Genomic DNA, 22,980 nt, shown 5'->3' with positions numbered 1-22,980 from the left:
CTATGTGCTCCCAAGGCCCCCTGGGTTTAAATCTCCAGAGTCATTACCACTTTGTGCTGCAATTCTCCCTGTCTAGACTGCAGGGTCTTTGAGGGCAGGGCCTGTATGGATAACTACTGCATACTTAGGAACCAGAACGGAAGGTGCTCAGAAAAGAGTTGCTGCACCAATAAACAGATGCAACACAGTCACAAACACAAGAGGGTTCATCAGTCCATTTCCAATTCTAAGACTTGGAGAAAGGAAGTCAGTAAACATCAAACTTAAAAGGAAAAAAAAAAGCCAATGAGTTCCTTCTTCAATCATTACAATGTAAAATAAATCCAAGTGTGGCTGCTCTAATTGAATGGGGGGTGGGTGGGATTCAGAGCCTACCTCAGTGTCCCCCTTTTCTTGCCCCCAGGTAGCTCCCTGGGTGAGGCACCTCCTTAATGTGTGGATTCTACACATCACAGTTGGGAAGCGAGGATGAATGAGGAAGTCAAGTCAGTTTGTGCCATAATTCCTTAGTGCCAAGTTCAGGTTTCAAACCTGGATCTCTGGGCTCCTGGTCCCATTATGTGTGCAGTCACTAAGCCACATGCTCTCCTTTCCCAGTTCTGAATGTCATCCGTAAAACTAGGTTAGACTAGATTGTTTTTCTCAAATCGCTTTCCTGATTCTAAATCATGTCATGCCAATAACGGGCTTGCCATATCCACTTTGGTCTGTTTAGTTAAGGACACAAATTTTTATATACACTCAGTGATTAATGGCTTCTCATTAGGATTTCCCTGCCACAAATTAAACACAAACATAATACAGTACCAAAGGAAGCTTATTGAGGGGCATGGGTTTTATGAAGCACAGTGATGACATGAATCTTTTATAACTGTTTGCTGGTATAGAATCATAATTACAGCAATCAAGACAGATACACATCTTTTGTAAGGAAAAAAGTAATTATAATTTAAAAGCACACAGCTCAAAGTTGCCATCACAGAAACGACTATTATAGCAACTATTTCGCATTTGGACATTTTTTTGGCAGGAGGTCTGGGTATTGTTTATTGTAAGTCAGAAACAGGCACTGAGAAAATATGCAAATTTTTAAAGCAACAGAAAATGCAGTTTTGGGTTGAGAAAACAGGGTGAACGGTGGAAACTGGGCCTTGAGCACAAATCAACCTTAGTGGCTGAAATAACTTTTGGACATTGGATGCAATCATAGTAATCTGGGGGTAAGGTTAGAATAAAGTTAGTTTAAGCGTTAAAACATACATTCAAGATTTGGGCTGTGCTCCTGAGTCAAATTCTATCTTCTGTGAATGTCGTGCCTATGGATTGATTCTAAGCTGAAAGACCAGGGAAGAAAGCCTTCAGAATGCTTAACAATCCCCTTTTCCTTGGCCAGGCAGGGAATTCCCATTGCCTTATGAGGCAGTTCATTTTTGAGTCATAGAAGAAGCAAATGCAAGCCTCCTTCCTCATCCCACTGCCTCCCCAGGAAGGATGGATCACACTTGCTTGAAATAGAATTAACGCAGGATGACTAGTTGACTCGTACCCCAGGCCTCAGTTGTTTGCTGACATGCAGTAGATTTTTCAAAATCGCTTAATAATCAACAGGTGAAATCAGGATAGGTCATGTGACATTAGAGAAAAATGCATGGAGACTGGGGGTCAGGAGACCTGAGTGGTGCAAGGTTGGGCAAATACAGTATTGTAGGAGGTCCTCTCCTCCAAACTGAAGAGTGAGGTGAGGTCTGGGTTTCAATTTTTTTTAACCCTTTGTTCCAATCAAATCTCATGATGAAACAAGCAACATGACACATCAGCTCTAAACCTGAAGAGTCGGGAGGCAGAGCCACTGATTCACCCTTCCTCTAGCTTCCCCTCCTCCTCTCTCTTCCCTAACCCCAACCACCAGCATCTGGACCCTGAGTGTATTCCAAGTTGTTGGGGCAAGATTTGGAAATGACTGGATTGGGTAACTCAAAGTACTCAAATTCTAAGAATGAAATTCCCATAAACTGGAATAACCTCTGGGGGAAAAACGAAAAGCATGAGTTAAACTCCAAGAACTCCACAGTATTCATGATACCTCAATTAATAAATAGTGGTGCATGCCTGTAATCCTAGCTACTCGGGAGGCTGAAGCAGGAGAATTGCTTCAACCCAGGAGTCGGAGGTTGCGGTGAGCCTAGATAGCGCCACTGCACTCCATCCAGCCTGGGTGACGAGAGCGAAACTCCGTCTCAAATAAATAAATAAATAAATCTTCTTCAAAACATGGCTTGTTTTAAAAGTTCAACCACAGCAGCACTTTGAGAGGCCTAAGCGGGTGGATCACAAGGTCAGGAGTACGAGACCAGCCTGACCAACATGGCGAACTCCGTCTCTACTAAAAATACAAAAATTAGCAGGCGTGGTGGCGCACACCTGTAGTCCCAGCTACTCAGGAGGCTGAGGCAGGAGAATCGCTTGAACCCTGGAGGCGGAGCTTGCAGTGAGCCAAAATAGCACCATTGCACTCCAGCCTGGGTGACAGAGTGAGACTCCGTCTCAAAAAAAAAAAAAAAAAAAGTTCAACCGTAGCTACGATGTGTAGGGGTTTCTGTCTCAGGTCTTAGGCCTATTCCTAGGGACGTAGGTGGCAATGAGACAGACTGAGTTGAAGAGAGCAGTCCTATTTTTTGTGCCTTGTGACCTAGCTAAGCCCCAGGACAAATGCGGGAAATAAAACTGCCAAATTTAATGGTTTACCCAAAGTTATCCAAGTAAATGGCAGAGTCCAGACCAGAGTCTAGAGTTGGCACTCCCAGTCCTAACCATTTTCAGAGAAACACATTGTCTTGTAGTACCAACTACATTCTGTGAAAGCCGGGAATGATAGTATTCATTTATGAGGGAGAGGTTTTCAAATTCTGTGTTATAGATCTGTGCTGCCCAATATGGTAATCACTAGCCACATGTAACCATTGAGCACTTGAATAGAGTTAGTAGGATTTGAGATGCGCTGTTTTATGTGTTATGTATACATTAGATTTTGAAAACTTAGTACCCCCAAAATGTAAAATATCTCATTAATACTTATATTGACTTCATGTTGTAATGGTAATATTTTGGATATATTGAGTTAAATAATATATATTGAAATTAATTTTGGTTGGGCACCATGGCTCACTCTTGTAATCCCAGCACTTTGGAAGGCCAAGGTTGGCGGACTGCTTGAGTGCAGGAGTTTGAGATCAGCCAGGGCAACAAGGCAAAACCCAGTCCCAGTCTCTATAAAAAATACAAAAATTAGCTGGGCATGATGGCGGACACCTATAGTCCCAACTACTTGGAAGCCTGAGATGGGAAGATCACTTGAGCCCGGGAGGTCAAGGCTGCAGAGAGCTGTGTTCGTGCCACTACACTCCAGCCAGGGTGACAAAGAAAAAAATTAATTTCACTTGCTTATTTTTGCTTATTTTAATGTAACTAGTAGAAAATTCTAAATATGTATATAACACATTATATTTCTATTGGTCAGCACTGTTAGAAAGTGATTGCTCTTTATAGAAGAGTCTTTGGAAAAAGATAGAATTGGTAGGGCTCATGAATTCCTCTCTCCAGAGCAATCACTCTTAATTTATTTAAATAGATTAACATGTGGTAAGAATATTTTGGTTTCTGCACAGAAGTTTATGGCTAATGGTAATAGTAATAATAATAAAAGAGCCACCACTTATTAAGTCTTTTTGAAAAGACTTATGTGTCAGGCACCATGCCAAGTGTTTTATATTTGCCTCATTTACTTGTCACAACAATCCCACTGTTACTAAGTTTTATTATTCCCACTTTCCCAATGAAGGAATTGAGATTCTCAGAGAATTAGCAACTGCCAAGGTCAGGAGCTGGTTAAGTGGTTGGACCAAGATTCTACCCTAGTCCGCTTGCACTTAAAGCCTGGGAACTTAAGCGCTACACAATTCTGCTCTGCTGGGACTAACAGTCCGGATGAAAATACTACTCTCAGAATTCTACAGATTCCCACTATGTTTGAAGGCACTGGAGGGAAGGTGGGATACAGAAGGTGGGGCAAAATCGTGGCAGTCCTCGAGGATCTTACATTATGGTAGGGAAAACATGAGCAATGAAATACGTGTCAGAGGAAGACCTCATGAGAGAGATGAAAACATAAAATCCCTCAGCGGACAGGACAGACATGAATTCATTCCAGTTGTGGGGGAAAAGGGAGGGTTTCATGGAAGAGGCAGCATTTCAGAAAGAACTCTAAAGATGAGGAAGGTTTTTCTGCAGTTAGGAGTAGCTAGGGAGAGGCGTGCCAGGCGGAAGAAATGGCGGGAGCAAGACAAGTCCTGTGAGGGGACCAGCAAGGGGGCCCAGATTGCTGTTTACCCACGGCAAGAGGTCAGAAAAAAGACTGAGGAGAGAGTTCCAAGTCAGGACAAGTTGAGGAGTGGGAACAAAGCTGAAACAAGATGTATCCCTTGCTTTCTTGACAAGGCAGTGACAGCATTTCTTGGGTTGAAGAGAAGTTTTTGGGCCGGGCGCGGTGGCTCACGCCTGTAATCCCAGCACTTTGGGAGGCCGAGGCTGGCAGATCACGAGGTCAGGAGATCGAGACCGTCCTGGCTAATATGGTGAAACCCCGTCTCTACTAAAAATACAAAAACTAGCCGGGCGTGGCGGCGTGCCCCTGTCCCAGCTGCTGGGGAGGCTGAGGCAGGAGAATGGCGTGAACCCGGGAGGCGGAGCTTGCAGTGAGCCGAGATCGCACCACTGCACTCTAGCCTGGGCGACAGAGCAAGACTCCGTCTCAAAAAAAAAAAAAAAAAAAAAAAAAAAAAAAGAAAGGAAGAAGAAGTTTTCGGTGTGACTTTCAAAATCAAAAATAGGTTTATATTAATGCACTTTGGAGAATGCTAGTCTTTTTTCTAGTACCTGGCAGAACGAGCAGTAACACCAACCACAGCAAAATCAGCCTGAAGACCTTCCAAGAATTACCCAATCTCCATGAGCCAAAAACAAAGCAAAGCAAAACAAAACAAAACAACCAACCAAACAAACCAAAAAACCCAAACATCCAAATGTGACACAGATACCACGGGAGCAACCCCCAGGCGGCAACATTCTTCCGTATTCCAAGATATCTATCAGCAGAAACAGGCCCCCATCCGTGCTCTGATTAAAACCCTGGTTTTTCTTCTCTTCCATTAGAGGAAGACCTGTCTTAAAGGGCAATAGATTCACCAAATCGTCACAATTGCTAACATTCACAAGGCAGAGAGACAAGACTAGAAGAAGCACCTTTCACCAGATGTAGAAGAGAGTGAATAATTTTATTAGGGAAACTCTTTTTAGATGTTTGCTGTTTTTCAAATGTAATATTTAAGATGGAACTCACCCCTCAAGCCCTGCACAGGGTAGCTGGAGTCTCCCCTTTCTAGAGAGCTACTTGGACTTGCACCTTTACTCCATTAAATCCCAAAGGATTCAGAGATTTTTTTCCCCCTAGTTCTGCTTTCAAAATCTTCCAGGAAGTTAGGACCATTAAGTGAGGCCTATTGTTATGAAGAAGTTTAGTGATTAAAATGTAGTCCCTGTCTAATCCCAGCCTGGGGGTTTGCCTCTTGATTAAAATATGTGGGGGCGGAGTTAAGGAAAGGAGGCCTGCTGAGGGGTAAATTTACTTCAGGTTAACCCTGCTTTGCATCAGTCATTTCCTGCAAACCCATTACCATAGCCAGGCACTAGCAAATCCTACCTTTCCAAAACTGGCCCTTTTCAAGAGGCACTTACTGGTAATCCTGGAGCTTCCTCTCTGGCATTTCCTTTACCCACCATGAATGTCTGGTCTTCCCAATTCCTCATCACAGACAGAAAAAAATCATCACAAATCCACGAGTCCTCAAAGTCTGGAGCTTCTAGCTAGGCAGAATTCATTGGTTGCTGGTTGTCCATTTTGAAGTATTCTCTTGGGTCTTTTTGATGAGATTGCAATCTTTATTTGGAGATGTTGGGGCTTTATGGAAGAAAACCCTTCCTTCAGGTGTATCTTAACTCAAAAGGAGCTGCCTGGACATTTTAAAATGCCCATTGGGCTGTATGAGTTGAAATCGATGTTGTGAGGATGAGAAAATGGAAAAGAACAAATAGGAGTGGGCAAGGGCACAGATGTTCTTCAGGGATACAGTGTCCGGCCAAAACTGGGATTTGAACCTCATTACAAAGTCGATACAGACTAGAGCATGGCTTCTATCTGTTCTTCCTCTTATTTTTTAATTTTTTATTTGTTTATTTTTGTAGAGATGGGGGTCTTGCTTGTTGCCCAGGCTGGTCTCGAACTCCTGGACTCAAGTGATTCTCCCACCTTGGCCTCCCGAAGTGCTGAGCTTACAGGCAAGAGCCGCCACACGGAGCCCTGGTCTTCCTCTTTTTTTTTGAGACCAAGTTTCACTCTTGTTGCCCAGGCTGGAGTGCAATGGCATGATCTCGGCTCACTGCAACCTCTGTCTCCTGGGTTCAAGAGATTCTCCTGCCTCAGTCTCCCAAGTAGCTGGGATTACAGGCGCACACCACCACACCCGGCTAATTTTGTATTTTTAGTAGGGAAGGGTTTCACCATGTTGGTCAGGCTGGTCTTCAAACACCCAACATCCGGTGATCTGCCCGCCTCGGCCTCCCAAAGTGCTGGGATTACAGGTGTGAGCCACCGCGCCCGGCCTCTTCCTCTTAAAGTTGATTTAACATTTCCAGATTCCTCAGCTCTACCCACATTGGACCCACAGATTTTGCTATCTTATTCTATTGCCCTTTCAGTCATTATATAGAGCTTGGACTTGTTAACAAGTTTAAATAAATTTTCTTTTCCTTTTAGATTTTTGAAGACTGAGGTCTTCAAAACATCTCTTTGCAAAAGTGTACAAAATATAGACTAAAATGTTAGTGTTGCCCTCCTTCCTCCACTGCTTTATACTCCCAGCCTTCACTCCACATTCAGCAGTTTATTCTCTTTTTGTGCTACAAGTATTTCTTGATCCCCACTCTGCCTGGCACTGTTTAAGGTGCTGTGGTTAAAGCAGTGAACAAAGGAGAAGATGTCTTGACCCTCATGGAACTTACATTCTAGTGGAGGGAGACAGACCCCAAACAAATAAATGCATACTGCTTTAGGAAACGACTTTGGATCTCACTCGGAGTGAAATAGGAAGCCACTGTAGGACATCATGAAGAAGAATGAAATGGCTTTTTTTTTTTAAAAGGCTAACTGGCTGCTTTGTGGAAAATGGTTAGCAGGGTGAGAGACTACCTGGGAGGCCATTGGAAAAGGCCCAGTGAGAGTTGTTGGTGGCTTGGATTAAGGTGACTAACCATAAATGTGGGGAGAAGTGCTACAACTTAGGGATATGGTTTGGAAGAAGAATTGTCAGGATTTGATGAAAAATTGGACAAAATAAGAAAAGAGAGCTGTGAAAGATAAAGCTGAAGTTTTAGGCTTGAGCAACGAGGTAAATAGACTAAAATGAGGTGGAGGACTGAAGGTTCAAGTTAGGTGCAGGGGAATGAAGAGCTCTGAATGCTCGTAGATCTCCAGTGGAAATCTCTAGGTGGCAACAGCATTCTCGAGAGAGGTGAAGCTGGAGCTCTATATTTGGGACCTGTGGCACACACAGAATTTAAAACTCTGTGTAATCATGCCAAGGGAGCGTGACAATGAATGAAGATGGAGGAGAAGATTCAAAACCAAAATGGGGTGGAATAACTAAAAATTAAATGGCCGAAGTTGTTTTATTTAACATTATACATGCTAGTACAACAAACACGATTACAAAAGCTGGTATTATACCTAATCCAATTTCTATTCTATTATTCTGCCTCATTTTGTTAGCCAAATTTTTATGTAAGATTTAATGACTCTAAAACCAAGGTTTTTGGCCTGAGTAGCTGTAGGAATGTAGTTGTAATTTACTGATTTGGGGAAGTCTGAGAACAGACTTGTGGGGTGTGGTCAGGGCAGGAAGTCAAAATTTGAGACAATCGAGGGGAGATGTTGAATAGACTGTTAGATATGAGAGAATGAATTCATGGGAGAGGTCTGGTTTGAGACTAGATTTGGTTTTATCCGCTATAGATAGTGTTCCTATGGGGTGTGAGTGTAGCTAGAGAACAGATAAAGGCCCTGGGCTCTCCAATGTCTAGAGGTGGAGAATATATCGAGGAATTGGAAGGAAGATAATGAGATAAGGGAGGAAAAAGCAGAAGTCCTATCTAACATGCCAAATTATCTTAAAATTACAAGAACTGAAAACATCAAATAGTCTCAGAGTCTCCCCTAATTCGGCATAAGCAAAGAATACTATGTCTTTTATTTATTTCACCTCTGCATTTAATTCTAAATCTCCCTAGGATTATAGATACATACCTGCTAAGAAAATAATTATGTCATCCAAACAATTTTCAGATGCTTTCCTAGGGGAATTTTTTGGAATTCTGTTTTCAGCTAGTCATGTTGCCCATTGCCTAGAGATTTTGGCTGGGTGTGACATATGAAGCTGGGCACACACGGCACTGCTTCTCACCTCCATGCTGCCATATGAAGGAAGGTGTTCTTTTCTTTCTCTCTGTTATGAATTTGAAGGCTTGAGGGCACGTAATTTAAGCAACCCCAGGGGGGCTATACTGCTTGATTGGACTTTCACATTTTACCCTTTGCATTTCTTTGTCTTTTGAGGTTATGCCAAGATCTTTCCCTGGAACACTGCCCATGGGGTTGGAGACACCCTACAAAGGTTCTGTGGATAGGCTCCAGGGGTCTGTGAACTTGAATGGGAAAAATATTTAGGTTATTTTCATTAACCTTTAGTTGAAATTCAGCAATTCCTTCAACTAATGGATGTAGGCAGAAAATTACATGAGTTTTAGCAGTACTCGGACTTTGTCACCCATAGAAATCACAGATATTTTCATATCACCTTACAATTGTTTCAGATATCTCCAGATGTCATCTGAGAAGGTGCTTCAGTAGACTGTGATAGGGGCCTGTGGTGCAGAATAGTGGAGGACCGTGCTATCTCTAAAGATATATTCCACTGGATATATATTCTACTGGATATATATTCTACTGGAGTTTATATATATGTATATATATATATATATATATATATATATTTTTTTTTTTTTTTTTTTTAAACAGGGTTTCATCATGTTGCCCAGGCTGGTCTTGAACTCCTGGTCTCAAGCAATCCACCCACCTCATCCTCCCGAAGTGCTGGGATTACAGGCATGAGCCACCGTGCCCGGCCTCTACTGGATATCTTGATGCCTTGTTCAATGACATTAACTTCATTCATGGTGTCTTTCTTGTCAGAGGCTTTACATTTTGGGTGGTGAAGTCTGCTATTATTACTTTTTCTCCATGGCTTCTAGGCTTTGTGTATTTCTTGGAAAGGCCTTCCCCACTCAAAAGTAATAAACGTACATTGTAACTCTCCAATATTTTCTTTCAAAATTTTTATAGGGCTTTTGCTTTGTTTTGTTTTCCTTTTTATTTTATTTGTTTATTTTGTTTAGAAATGGGGTCTTGCTCTTTTGCTCAGGCTGGCCTGGAACTCCTGGGCTCAAATGATTCTCCCATCTCAGCCTCCTGAATAACTGAGACTACATGTGCCTGCCACTGTGCCCAGCTTGTTTTGTTTTTCATGTAGCACTTTAATCCAATTGGAATATGTTTTTGTGTCTGCTGTAATGTAAGCATCTAACTTTTCTATTTCACTTTCTAAAATGGCAGCCAAATATCCTAATAGTATTTATTGGATAGTGAATAAATTTGTCATATATCATATTTTTAGTAGCTTTACTGTGATATAATATTATACATATTTAAAGTGTACAATTTGATAAGTTTTGACATAGCTATATACCTGTGAAACCATTACTACCATCAGGAGAGTGAATAATTCATATTTTTAAATAATTTCCATTTTATTTATCTTTTGAATAGTTAACATATTCACATGGTTCAAAATTCAAAAATTTTGCAGACTCTGCACTTGATGGATCAGCTGGCACCACCCAGATCGATAAACTAGCTCATCTCATCTAGTGGCCCCCACCCAGGAAATGACCAGCTTCGACTCCCTACGATTTCATCCGTGACCAATCAGCACTCCTGGCTAACTGGCTTTCCCCGACCCACCAAATTATCCTTAAAAACTCTGATCCTCGAATGCTCAGGTGGACTGATTTGAGTAATAATACAACTCCAGTCTCCTGTACAGCCGACTCTGCGCGAATTACTCTTTCTCTTGCAATTCCCCTGTCTGGATGAATCGGCTCTGTCTAGGCAGCGGGCAAGGTGAAACCGTTGGGCGGTTACACTCGATGGCATCCATGGGATTGCTGCCGCGAACCGTGATTCTGATTTGCTGAATTGAAACTAGAATTAGCCAGGGCTGATGACCCACTCTCCGCCCATTCTGCCCCTGTTCCATGAGATTTGGCCTCATTAAAACTGAACAGCAGTGGGTCAAGCAAGTCTCTTCAATGTTTGTCTAGCTCTTCCTAATCTAAATGTCCTCTAGGTAGTAGGATCATCTTAGCCCTCCTACCCATGTAACTTCTTCCTGGGACACATGACTTCATGAAATTCTAGGGCATGGGCATTCTTACCAAACATATGTTCTAACATGAAATAATGCTTAGTTTTAAACTGATATGTTAATATCAGTATGGTAGGTACACATAGGAGGAAGAATCATCTTAAATGTATATCTGTATTGGAAGTGAAAGAGAAGAATGAATTTATTTTGAATGTACTGATGAAAAAGAATTCAGCTTTACTGCATAACCTCCCATAGAGTTAGTGCAAGCCATGATTATAATAAGCTTTTATGGTCTCTCTCTCTCTCTCTCTGTTTTGTTTTTGTTTTAAATTTTTAGTTTCAAAAATCATTCTCTAAGTGTCACTGAGTTCAAGCGCACTTCACTGAAGAGCGTGTTAGTGTTCGTCACAGCATCTGTGTTTTATTTTGGGAGGTCCATGAGACTTAATTGGAAAGAGAATTGGCTGTGATTTCTTCTTTTTGTCCCCTTAATTGAAAAAAACAAAGCCTGGCTGTTACTGTTTGAAGACCCTTTTTAAAAATCATTCTTTAGCTTCCCCTTGATTTGTGTTTCTTGCTAAAAGTTTTCCCAGAGGAGGGCTGAAGACAACCCTAGAACAGTTCAGACGTTCTGTTCTATTCCCTTTCTGTCGAAGCACTCCAGATAAGAGCCCTGAAGGAGGGAACACATTCAGCCCTCACAGTAGGATGCCGGTACTTTATAATAACCTCTCCCACAGCCCCAAGCTCTCAGCACTATTCACTTTCTACCAGGACCCTTAACATAGCACAAAGAAAGACTTTGAAAGTCCCTGGACCCCACATCCCTGCTGAGAGCCCAGGATGCAGGATACCACACAGCAGTCTTCAAAAAGCCCCTAATTTTATTTCCATCTCTGATTTCTGAACCACGGTCTTCTGCTTGAACAAGGGGAAGAACAGCTGTGTAAATAAATGTAGATGACTGAAACAGGCTAAACGTTTTTTCCCAATAATTCACATAGACTCCCTGTTGATTGTAAGATGAATAATGATATGGGCAAAAAGTGCTCCAATACATGGTATTCTCTGGGAAGAGATTTGTTGGTATTAAGCACCCGGAATAGTGGTCTCTATAAAATAGGGATGCGGCCTACTGGTCACCGGAAACAGTTAACTGTATCACATTATTATTATTATTATTATTATTTTGAGACGGAGTTTCACTCTTGTTGCCCAGGTTGGAGTACAATGGCATGATCTTGGCTCACTGCAACCTCTGACTCCAGGGTTCAAGCGATTCTCCTGCCTCAGCCTCCTGAGTAGCTGGGATTACAGGCATGTGGCACCACGCCTGGCTAATGTTTTGTATTTTTAGTAGAGATGGGGTTTCTCTATGTTGGTTAGGCTGGTCTCGAACTCCCGACCTCAGGTGATCCACCCACCTCGGCCTCCCAAAGTGCTGGGATTACAAGCGTGAGCCACTATGCCCAGCTGTGTATCACATTATTTTAGTTAGAAACTTTCACAAAGTTTTCCTAAGATCAATCATTCATTCAACAAACATTTATTGAGCATCTACTATATACAAGAATTTTTTCCTAGGTGCTTTTGGGGACACTTGGCAAGCCTGAATGAGATCTATCTATGCCTTTAAGGCTGTGGAACAGAGCAAAGGGATAAATAGTGATTAAGAGTATAGTTTCTGAAATCATCTGGCCTAGGTTTGAGTTCTAACTTGATTACCTGCTAGCTGTGTGGCCTTGGGCAAGTTGCAAAGCTTTTCTGAGCTTCAATTTCTTCATCTTCAATATTATCTTCTTCACAATGACATTTATGAAAATTAAATAACATGATGAAGAGTATCTGCCACATAATAAAAATGTCAATATAACGATTAACTATTATATTAGTTGGGGTATGGACTAAGCTACTATAGCAAAAAGACTCCAAATTCCAGTAGCAGAGCATAATAGAGGTTTATTCTTCTCTCTGTCCAGAGGTAGGAATTCTGTGGCTATAAGGGGGCCTCCACATTTTAACATGGCTTCCAGCTCTAAGACCAAGATGGTTGCTCTGGCTCTTACCACATCCCAGCAAGCAAGAAAGGTAAAAGGCCAGGTGAAGACATGCTTCATCTTTTTAAGGACATCACCCAGAAGTGGCTCATTTCACTTCTGATTACATTCCATGTTCCAGAACTTAGTCACCTGATTGTGCCAAGTTGCATTAGAAGGGTGGGAACTGTAGTCTCTAGCTGACCGCACGCTCAGTTAAAACTCCTAACTTCCATTGTGCAAGATGTTCGGTCATAAGCCATCTCAGTCACAGCTATCATTATTAGCTGGCCTTAGGACTGATGACAATCGCTGCTATAAGAGCCTTGAAAGTCATAGGAGGTAGACTCCTGGACACATGGGGAAGGAAGAAAACATCCAGATGGGGGGATAGAGAGCTCAGAGGCATCAAAGAGAAGAGGCATTCAGAGTGTGTGGAGAAGTCCAGATTATCGGAGTGTAGCAGGCAGTAGCAGAACTGTATGGAAAATAAAGCCAGATCAGAGGTGAACCGCAGACCAGGAAAGGTCTAAGGCATTTGGCCTGCATTTGTTAGGCCATGAAGAGATAGTAAAGTTTTGGTTTTTTTTTTAAACAGAAGGTCTCACATATTTATTACTCAACTCAATCAACCAGTGGGTTTGTAACAGGTACAGAGAGGAAAAATATCTTCCCAATAAAACATGTCCAGCTCTCCAGATAGTGGTGACATTTTCAGTTTGATATGATAACATGATTGTGACCTTCAGACAGCATAAATATGTGTGCCATCTCATGTGGCACACTATAGACCCAACTTGGTTCTTCTCCAATGTCTCCTTTTGGAGTTGTGCCTGATTTTATTACCAATTTTCATCCGAATCCACTGGGGAATAGGACGATTTTGCTTTTGTTTCTTGGCCGGGAATCACTTAATCCCAAAAGTCTTGTGAGAAGCTAAGTCAAGCACACAACATTATGGTGGAGAAAGGAAGAGGGCGGGAAGTGAGAAGAGATAGTAAAGTTTTGTGAGCAGGGGAGGGAAAAATTGGGGATGACCTGGTATAGGAACATATGTCTGAAAGCAGAGAATAGAATGGATTGACAAGGAAGAGAATGGAGGCTGTGAGACTGACTGGAGAGGGCATTCCAATAAGCCAGGGATGAGATTCTCAGGGCCCAGTGTGGTCCCAGGTGGTGGTAGGATTGGAAAGAAAGAGCCAGATGGGAGGTACCTCTGGAAGTAGAATCAGCAGGATATGATTACCAATTAGGTATGAGTCTGAAAAAAATAGTGCAGAATGACACAAATTCTGCAGTTTTAGTTTTTGTCAGGACAGAGATGCCATTAACAAGGAGAGAGAAGCTGGGAGGGCATAGCGACGAACTGGGATGCAGTTCTGGTTTGTGAGCCAGGAAAGGGAAGAATCTCACGGTACTCTTATAATGTAATTTCTTTTTTTGGATAATTATTTAATGTCTGCTTTCCCCTGCTACACCGTAAACTCATCTATTGCTGCCTAAAAAAAAATCTCAAACTTTGTGGTGTAAAACAAATAAACATTATTTATTATTATTACCTCTCACAGTTTGAAAGATTGCCTTTGCTCAGGTTGGCAGGTTTCACTCAGGGTCTCTCATTTACTTGCCAGATGAGGGCTGGAGTTGGAATCATCTCAAAACCTTCTTCATTCATGTATCTGGTAGTTGATAGTGGCCATCAACTGAGCCCTCAGTCGAGACCCTCAGCCAGAACTCTTATATGAGGCTTCTGCCTGTGGTCTGCGTTTCTTTGCAGCATAGTGGCTGGGTTCCAAGAGCACTGCAGAGAAAGCTAAGGAGAAGTTTCATTGCTGTTTACTACCAAGTGACATGGTGACACTTCTGCTGCATTTTATTAAGGAGTAACAAGTCACCAAGGCCAGGCCATATTCCAGGGCTTGAGGGGAGGAATGCTAAGAGTTTATAGACACATTCTGTGAGGACAGGGGGCTGGTCTGTATTTTTTTAACCTCTGTATTGTCAATGCTTGGGAAAAAGTCATATACTGTGTGATCAATGAAAGTTTGTTGAACAAATGAACGTAGACAAACATAAGCAGGTTCCAGTGCCACAGAGAGATTGTTCAGTGTGAAGACTGGGGAATGTTGGCTCTCACTAACTGTTCATTACTAGTATGGCCATCATTTCTATGTGGGGGACCCAATTTTCAGCAACTTTCACTAATTTGAAATTTGGGAAATGTTCAAGTGGGAGAAAAAAGACATCGCGATTCCTTTATATTGGGTCATTGGCTCTTGAGTTTGGCACAAGTGGATCTGAGAGGCAAAATCTGAACCATATATCTATATCTCACCGATGGTTGGTACTGCAAGACAAGCAGCTCCTGTCTTGCTACTCTGGGTCCTGAGTTGGGAATGTTCTTACTGGTGAAGGGGAAGAGGCTTGGAGGAGGAGGGAGTAGGGTGCCAGCAGCCAGATGGCTCAACTTCTCTCATTTTCCTATGGACTTTTTCTAAGGTATCCCCTCTTTTCCTCTTTTTCAAATTCTGATGATGTAGCTGCCATTTCCCCAGGAGACATTACTTTTTTAAAAAGCTTTCGCTGTGAATTAAATAAACAAAACAAATAAATAAAGTAAGAGAAATATTTATTCATTATAGAACATTTGAAAAATATTGCACATTATAGAAAACAAAAGCTGTACGTATTTCTACTAGCCAGGAACAACTACATTGATGATATTTTCTTTGAATAAAATAACTAGATAGTTGGAATAATATAATACAGAAAGTTGTACATCAGATTTTTAAAACATAACTTTATAATAAAGACATTTTTCTGAAGTTTCTAACTCTGTCCTTACTTGTTGTTTTAGCTTGGGCAAATTACTTAACCTCTCTAAACCTCAGTATCCTCTTCTGCAAAATGGAGGTAATAATAGTACCTTCTTCACAACTTGCTGTCAGGACTAAATAAGATGACATGTAAAATTCTTAGCTTGCACCTGGCATATGGTAAACATTAATTGTTAGCTAATATTAATATTTTTATGTCATGCATGAATTCATTGTATTAACAAAATGCGATTTTTCAGTTAGTGCGTAATAGTCATTGTATAGCTGTACCATGATTTATTTAACTATTTTCCTGGTTTTGGACACTTATATTGTGCAAAATGCTTACTATTATAAATAACTTTGTGATAAAAGTCCTTCAATATAAAACTTTGTCCACCTTACAGATGAAGGTAAATTCTTAGAAGTGAAAGCAATTTTTGAGGGAAGGGGAGAGAACATCAGGGGAGTTCTGGCTTTCCTTAGCCACCCCAGCTCAAATTCTTCATGATCTCCCACAGCTGCCTTGGATATAAGGCCCCTAAAAAGGGATAACAGTTTTGGGCTGGCTTCTAAAGGAACTTGGGTTGAAGGAGAAATGGGGACACTTTGGGAGATTTCTAAGTCTTCCCTCCTCTTTGTTACAAATTCTCAAAAGGACAGGAGTCACTAAACTGGAAACCAGAAGACCTGAGGTCTAGTTCCAGCTCAGTGGCTAATTGTGCAACTTTGGGCAAGTTGCTAAACTTCTTTGGGCTTCCCTCTTGGTAAGATGAAGGAATTTGGCTTCACTTCTAAAGTGCCTTTGAACGCTAGCATTCAATAGATCAAAGAGTCTGACAACTTCATAGACAATGTCAACCTTCCCCACCTCCTATTTCAAGCAGAGATTCTGGTTCATTTAATCTTCATTCATTCATTCAAAAAGCATTTACCTACCACCTACTATTCATCTATCACAGAAATGAATTACAGGGTGTCTTATCCTTGATAAACTCCCAGCCTGGTGGAGAGATAGAATGAGAAAGAAGTTATATTGACACACCGTAATAAATGCTATAAAGGTTATTACTAACTCCCATGGATAGACAGAAGAAGGAAATGTATGTTGTGTTTTTAATGGCGCTGGGTGGGAGGGTCAGATTAGGAGCAGATTCACCTAGGAAAAAATGTCAGTGTCTCCAATCGCCTTTGTGTATGAGGTTGATCCTAAGTATTAATAAAAGCTTTCCCTCTATGAGACCTTTGTCTGTCTTAAAGTATCTCCATAAAGCATATATTGTTGAGCATCTCCAGTGTGGGAGACAGAGAGTTGATGTCAAGGTGAACAAAATGGCAGCCTTACCCTCCAGGATGGTAAAGGTAGCTATGAAGGTAATGAGGCTGTGGGAGGAGGTGGGAGCCTTCGGGAGGGAGCCATTTTATTCCTGAGATATCTGGGGAAAAGTGTTCTTTCTCAAATTCTAGAAGGAATGCTGGGTTTGGAGTTGGAGGAGTTAGGTTCAGCTCCAGTGTCGGGTGAGTTGCCTAATGACTGTGAGCATCAGTAACCAGCCCCAGGAACATTTACCTGGAGGTGGTGTGTGTAAAGCTGGAGTCTGTTACACACTGAAGAAATAGTCTTGTCTCCTTCCTTCCAGTTACTAATCTTTCAGAGTCTCGGTTTACACACCCTGAAAGTGTGAATAGCGTCTCTCCCTGTGTGTAGAAGTAACATGTAACGGAGGCATCTGGCGAGGCCAGAGCATTATTGTGGTTCTGGAGGAGGGAGATTAAGAGCTGAGATATTAAAGAACTAGCTTCTCCATTAGACTTTTTAAGGATGATTCTGGCATTCACGAGGGAGTTGTTGCTCTTTAGCAGAAGGGCACTGGCCAGCAGCAGTGGCTGAACCAGGGCCTGATGGTGGCGAAAGCGCTCGGAGGAAAGGGAAATGGAGCAAAGTGGAAGGTGGACAGGGCCAGCGGACCGCACTGCAGTCAGACCTAGCCCCAATGCCAGCAGGAAAGGGGCACTTCAGCAGGGTGGAGTCTGGGGATGGGGTGGCTGCCCAGGCAGTGCAGGCCACCTAGTAATGTGGAGAATGTGACAAGGAGCGGCCATCACTCCTTCACCTCTGTCCCTTCTTGTTATGTTCCAAAGGGAAAAGCTGTGATGAAAGGGCTTTTAAAAAAGTAGGACAAGGGAAAGATCAACCACGCCGGGTTGCCAGGACAATAGTGAATGGAACAGCTGGGTTGGGTGCCTTGGCTGTGCAGTGGGGAGAAATGCCCTGAGAAGCTCTGTGCTTTGCTAAACATTCAAAGATTATGTAAAAGATCCAGTGTAACCCTCCCCACCACCCCTCTTTCTTGACACTCCCAAAGTCCAAGAGAGAAAAGGAGGGAGAGAGAGAGAGAGAAAATTTGTTTTTGTGTAGGAGGGGAGATAAGTGGACTGAGAGAGAGAGAGAATGTAGGATATCCTAGGGCAAGTTCATGTGGGCACCAGGAGAGAAGAGGGAATCCATACAGCAGTGCTGGGAATGCTATCTCCATGTGTACAGAGTGCTTGCTCTGTGTGTGGCTCTGAAATAGGTGACTTTTTTCTTCGGATGGAATAGGATTTGTGCAGCCCTTGGGATGAGCTGCCTTGCAATGTGTTTTGTGTGCGTGCTCTCCCAGGCAGCAGACTTCTGTCCCAGTGTGCTCCCTCTGGGTAGTGTAGGTGTCTGGTTAAGTCTGTTCAGGAACTTACTTTCTGAGGTGGATACACTGACATGGATATATTCAAAGAGCTGAAGAATAAAATATGAATAAGGCACAAAACATTTGCGAAAAAAGAAAGATCTGAGTGTAAGAAGTCAATCAAAATTTATGTTGACTATCTTAGTACAGTAATATCATTCTTGCTGCTAAAGTTTTAAAATTGACAGATGGATTTGTAGCTATTAAAATTGTCATATGCCTACTAGAAGGAAGTCTCTATTAGAATATAGTTTTTTAAAATTATTTTTATTATTATTATCCTGGTGATTATTTTTATCCTGGCGAATAATTTTTCATAACAATATTTTATTAATATTATATAAATAGTAATATTTGACATGTTGCATTTAAAATCTAATATTATGTTATATATAATAAATATCATTTATAAAATATTTTATTCATATACTATATTGACAGGTATCAACTATTATACCATTTAATCACCCCAAGAATCCTGTGATGTGAAATATTTATTAGTATTGTCATTTGACAGATGAGAAAATGGATTGAAATTGCCCAATTCTATAGAATTAATGAAGAGTGGAGCTGGTATTGAGGCCTAGAATTATTTGAATACAACCCAACCCTATGTTCTTTTTTTTTTTTTTTGAGACGGAGTCTTGCTCTGTCACCCAGGCTGGAGTGCAGTGGCGTGATCTGGGCTCACTGCAAGCTCTGCCTCCCTAGTTCACGCCATTCTGCTGCCTCAGCCTCCCGAGTAGCTGGGACTATAGGCGTCCGCCACCACGCCTGGCTAATTTTTTGCATTTTTAGTAGAGACGGGGTTTCACCGTTTTAGCCAGCCTCAGCCTCCCAAAGTGCTGGGATTACAGGCGTGAGCCACCGCGCCCGGCCTGTTTGTTTGTTTTCTGAGATGGAGTTTCGATCTTGTTGCCCAGGCTGGAGTGCAATGGCACAATTTCGGCTCACTGCAACCTCCGCCTCCTGAGTTCAAGCGATTCTCCTGGGTCAGCCTCCTGAGGAACTGGAATTACAGGCGCCCGCCATAACGCCCAGCTTATTTTATTTATTTATGTATTTTTTGTTGTTGTTGCATTTTTGGTAGAGATGGGGTTTCACCATGTTGGCCAGGCTGGTCTCAAACTCCTGACCTCAGGTGATCCACCCACCTCAGCCTCCCAGAGTGTTGGGATTACAGGCGTGAGCCACCTTATCCGGCCCAAACCTATGCTCTTAATGACAAATAATCCAAAGCTAATAACTTGGATGATCAAAAAGATCTCATAAGAAATAGAGCTATGAATGGAAACTAACAAGATTACATAAAAAGGGTTGGATGGAAAATTCTAAGTGTACTTTCATAAAACCAGCTATTTGAGTTTGAAGTGGGAAACTATGGCTTAGTAATGGTTTAGATGAAATATACTTGGGTGTACATTTTTTTAAAAAAATCTTAAGTTTAATATAAGCCAACAAATACGTAACATGACTGCCCATAAAAGCTAATTGCTGAGGTTGTAGCAGTAGAATTATTATTTACAGAAATACAACTATAAAGTGGCAGGAATTGGCAAATGGAACACGAAGAAAGCATTCATGACAGTGAAGAGTCTGAAAAACAACTTGGTTTCTAACAATTTCAACAATGAGGAATTGTTGAAAGTATTATAGTATTTGTTTTTTTCTAGAAAGCAGTAATAATTATTATAATAATACCTAATTCTTATATATTTCCTTAACCCAATCATATTTGTATTGTTAACTCTTTTATTTGTTACAAAAACCCCACAAGTAGACCCATTGCTATGCCCATTTTATAGATGAGGGAAATTTGTTATGTAGCACAGAAAATGGATACGGTAGCCCTCTATCTTGTACTTTTGGTTCTGCCACGGTCACATGTAAGATGCATGTGCAGTAAACAGAGTTTTTACCCTAACATGTGGTTAAATTGGAAAGAGGACCAATGATAACTCATATTCTTTTCTCCACCTCTTTTCAGATGCAATGAAATTAACCTCTCCTTCCAAGAACAGCATGCAGGCAGCTAGCTGGAAAGACTCACACTTGAGTGAATAGCGACAGCTCGCCCCTTCTGCGCTTTGACGCTGCTGTCTCTACTGGCCACTTGGTCTACCAGTCAGTTGTGCCCTGTATGTACCCAGCCATGGCTGGGAAGACTCACAACCACAAGATTGTCTATCAGTAGGAAATACAGGAAATTACAGGATGGGTATATGAGACATATGTGGTGGATATAAAGCTCAATAGTAGTGATACAAGTGTCATATTCAGAAAATAATATAAACTTTCTTGCTATAATGGTTTGGTCATTACTATTTTGTAACTCTATTTAAAAATTTTGTAAAAAGTACTTTCAGCAGCAATGAGCTAAAAAACAAAAGGAAAATCAACAACAATGATGATAACAAACACAAAACAAAACCAACAACCCGAAAGAGCATATTTAATGAAAAATTAGGTCTTAAATGTTCATTTTTCAAGATAGCTGATGATGAATATAGAACTTGCACAAAAATGTTGACATTTACTATCCATCAAAGGGTTTTAGTGATATCACTAAACCTATAAAAAGCAGATGACACGCATCTGCCGAAAAAGCAACAGCACCTACTTCAAAGTTGGAAGTTATCTTAAGAGGATTGTGGTCAGAGAAAACAATTTAATATGTGCAGCTGTGGAAAGGTTTATTTCTACATCATTCTTTGAAGTGACTTTTCATTTAGATTAAATGTCTGTTCTTCTAAGTTAATTTCAATCATTTTCAGTACCAACATTTCTTGTGCATGTGCAAAGCCATGCTGAACTGTTGGCTCCATTAACAATAGAAGAACTTTGCAAACAGTTAAATAATTCCAATTGTATATCAAAGTCATCAGATGTTTCAAATAGAAAATTGATCAAGCTCATTCCAGTTAATGACTTAACTTTCTTTTCACCTGACAATTCATGAAATCAAGTTATGCTTTTGGAAGTTTGTTTGTTGAAAGCAAAACATCTGACACCATTATGCATACTGAGATGAATTCAAGGAAAAGTTCAACATTGAAAATGAAATTATTTGTGTCTGTGGTGACATGAATATAAATTTTGGCAGAGCATAGCACCATGGTAAAAACTATGTTCTAATCATGATATCTATAAAACAGAAGTGTACTTGGATTGACAGTGGTGCACACACAATTCCTAATTGCCTCCAAGCAGATTTTGGTGTTTTACCAATTTAAATAGGAATTGCTAGTGGTTAAATTTTACACATATTTTTATGTGTATATAGAGTAACTGATTTTTTTATGATAAAGCTGATGTTAAAAAACAAACAAAAAACTTCAGATGGCAGTATATACTTTCTCTTTGCCATGCATCATCAATCAGACCTTAAAAATGTTTGGGCTTTTTTCAACATCACTGATCACTACAGAAATGCAAATCAAAACCACAGTGAGATACCACCTCACATCACTCAGAATGGCGATTATTAAAAAGTCAAGAAACAACAGATGCTGGCAAGGGTGTGGAGAAATAGGAATGCTTTTACATTGTTGGTGGGAATGTAAATTAGTTCAACCATTGTGGAAGACAGTGTGGCGATTCCTCAAGGATCTAGAACTAGAATATCATTTGACCCAGCAATCCCATTACTGGGTATATACCTAAAGGAATATAAATTATTCTATTATAAAGATACATGCACACATATGTTTACTGCAGCACTATTCACAGTAGCAAAGATTTGGAACTAACACAAATGCCCATCAATTATAGACTGGACAAAGAAAATGTGGTACATATACACTGTGGAATACTATGCAGCCATAAAAAGGAATGAGAGATCATGTCCTTTGCAGGGACATGGATGAAGCTGGAAGCCATCATCCTCAGCAAACTAACACAGGAACAGAAAACCAAACACCACATCTTCTCATTCATAAGTGGGAGTTGAGCAATGAGAACACATGGACACAGGAAGGGGAACAACACACACTGAGGTCTGTGGGGTGGGGGTGGGGTGAAGGGAGAGAGAACATCAGGACAAATAGCCAATGCATGTGGGGCTTAAAACCAGGGTGACGGGTTGGTAGGTGCAGCAAACTACCATGGCGCATGTATATCTGTATAACAAACCAGCACGTTCTGCACAAGTATCCCGGAACTTAAAAAAAAAAAAGAAAAAAAAGGTTTGAGCTTTTTGAAGAATTACTTGGGAAATCAACCTAAACATCAACCATAATGATGAAGAAAGTTCTCTTCATTTTGGTTGCATCTTGTTCAAAATCAGTTGAAAATATTTAATGAAATTATTCAGTGACAGAAACAACTAAAAACTTATTTTTAAGTGCATAGCAAATTGTAGTTATTAAAAACAAAGCTTTCAAATACATAGAAGCAAGAGAAGAAGCAAAAAAAATAATCGATGAGAGCTCAAGTGGTGAAATAGGTTAACATATGGGAAAAATCTTTTGATGAAGATTTTCGTTTTAATTTTATAAGTTTATGTTACAGTCTAGAATGGATGGAAATTGAGAAGACCTATTATTTTGCAGAATCTAAATTTGATTACATATTTAGAAGAATCATAAAAAGGGACACTTTAAAATAAATTTCATCTTGTAAAAATATTTGTTGCAAAAAGTAGTCTAAAGGAAAAAAACAGTACCTGTAAAAATATTTGGGCTAAAATATTTAAGATCTCAATTTAAAAAGTCAAGATTTGGCTGGGTGCGGTGGCTCATGCCTGTAATCCCAGCACTTTGGGAAGCTGAGGCGGGTGGATCACCTGAGGTCAGGAGTTTGAGACCAGCCT

The 22,980-nt window shown here is 40.8% G+C and overlaps 1 protein-coding gene and 1 pseudogene across 1 annotated transcript in view, besides 1 other annotated feature; both read right to left on the bottom strand.

The window, feature by feature from the left end:
- The window catches only part of SLC1A3 (solute carrier family 1 member 3), a 91,747-nt gene extending 86,261 nt beyond the window's left edge, over positions 1–5,486 (bottom strand). The window contains exon 1 of the mRNA NM_001438455.1: positions 5,396–5,486. The gene's annotated coding sequence lies outside the window, so the exon portion shown is untranslated. The remainder of the gene's footprint in view (positions 1–5,395) is intronic.
- Positions 10,925–11,710: an enhancer, noted in NCBI's record as "NANOG hESC enhancer chr5:36590466-36591251 (GRCh37/hg19 assembly coordinates)". NCBI's record gives its function as "activates a minimal SCP1, AML or CMV promoter by ChIP-STARR-seq in naive H9 embryonic stem cells {active_cell/tissue: H9 hESC(naive)}" and the evidence as "EXISTENCE:reporter gene assay evidence [ECO:0000049][PMID:30033119]".
- Positions 13,219–13,605, bottom strand: RPL39P22 (ribosomal protein L39 pseudogene 22; annotated as a pseudogene).

This window comes from Homo sapiens, chromosome 5, assembly GCF_000001405.40.
Source record: "Homo sapiens chromosome 5, GRCh38.p14 Primary Assembly".
Taxonomy (NCBI): domain Eukaryota; kingdom Metazoa; phylum Chordata; class Mammalia; order Primates; family Hominidae; genus Homo; species Homo sapiens.
Note: the sequence above shows the minus strand (reverse complement) of the source record. Positions and strands in the feature narration are given on the sequence as shown.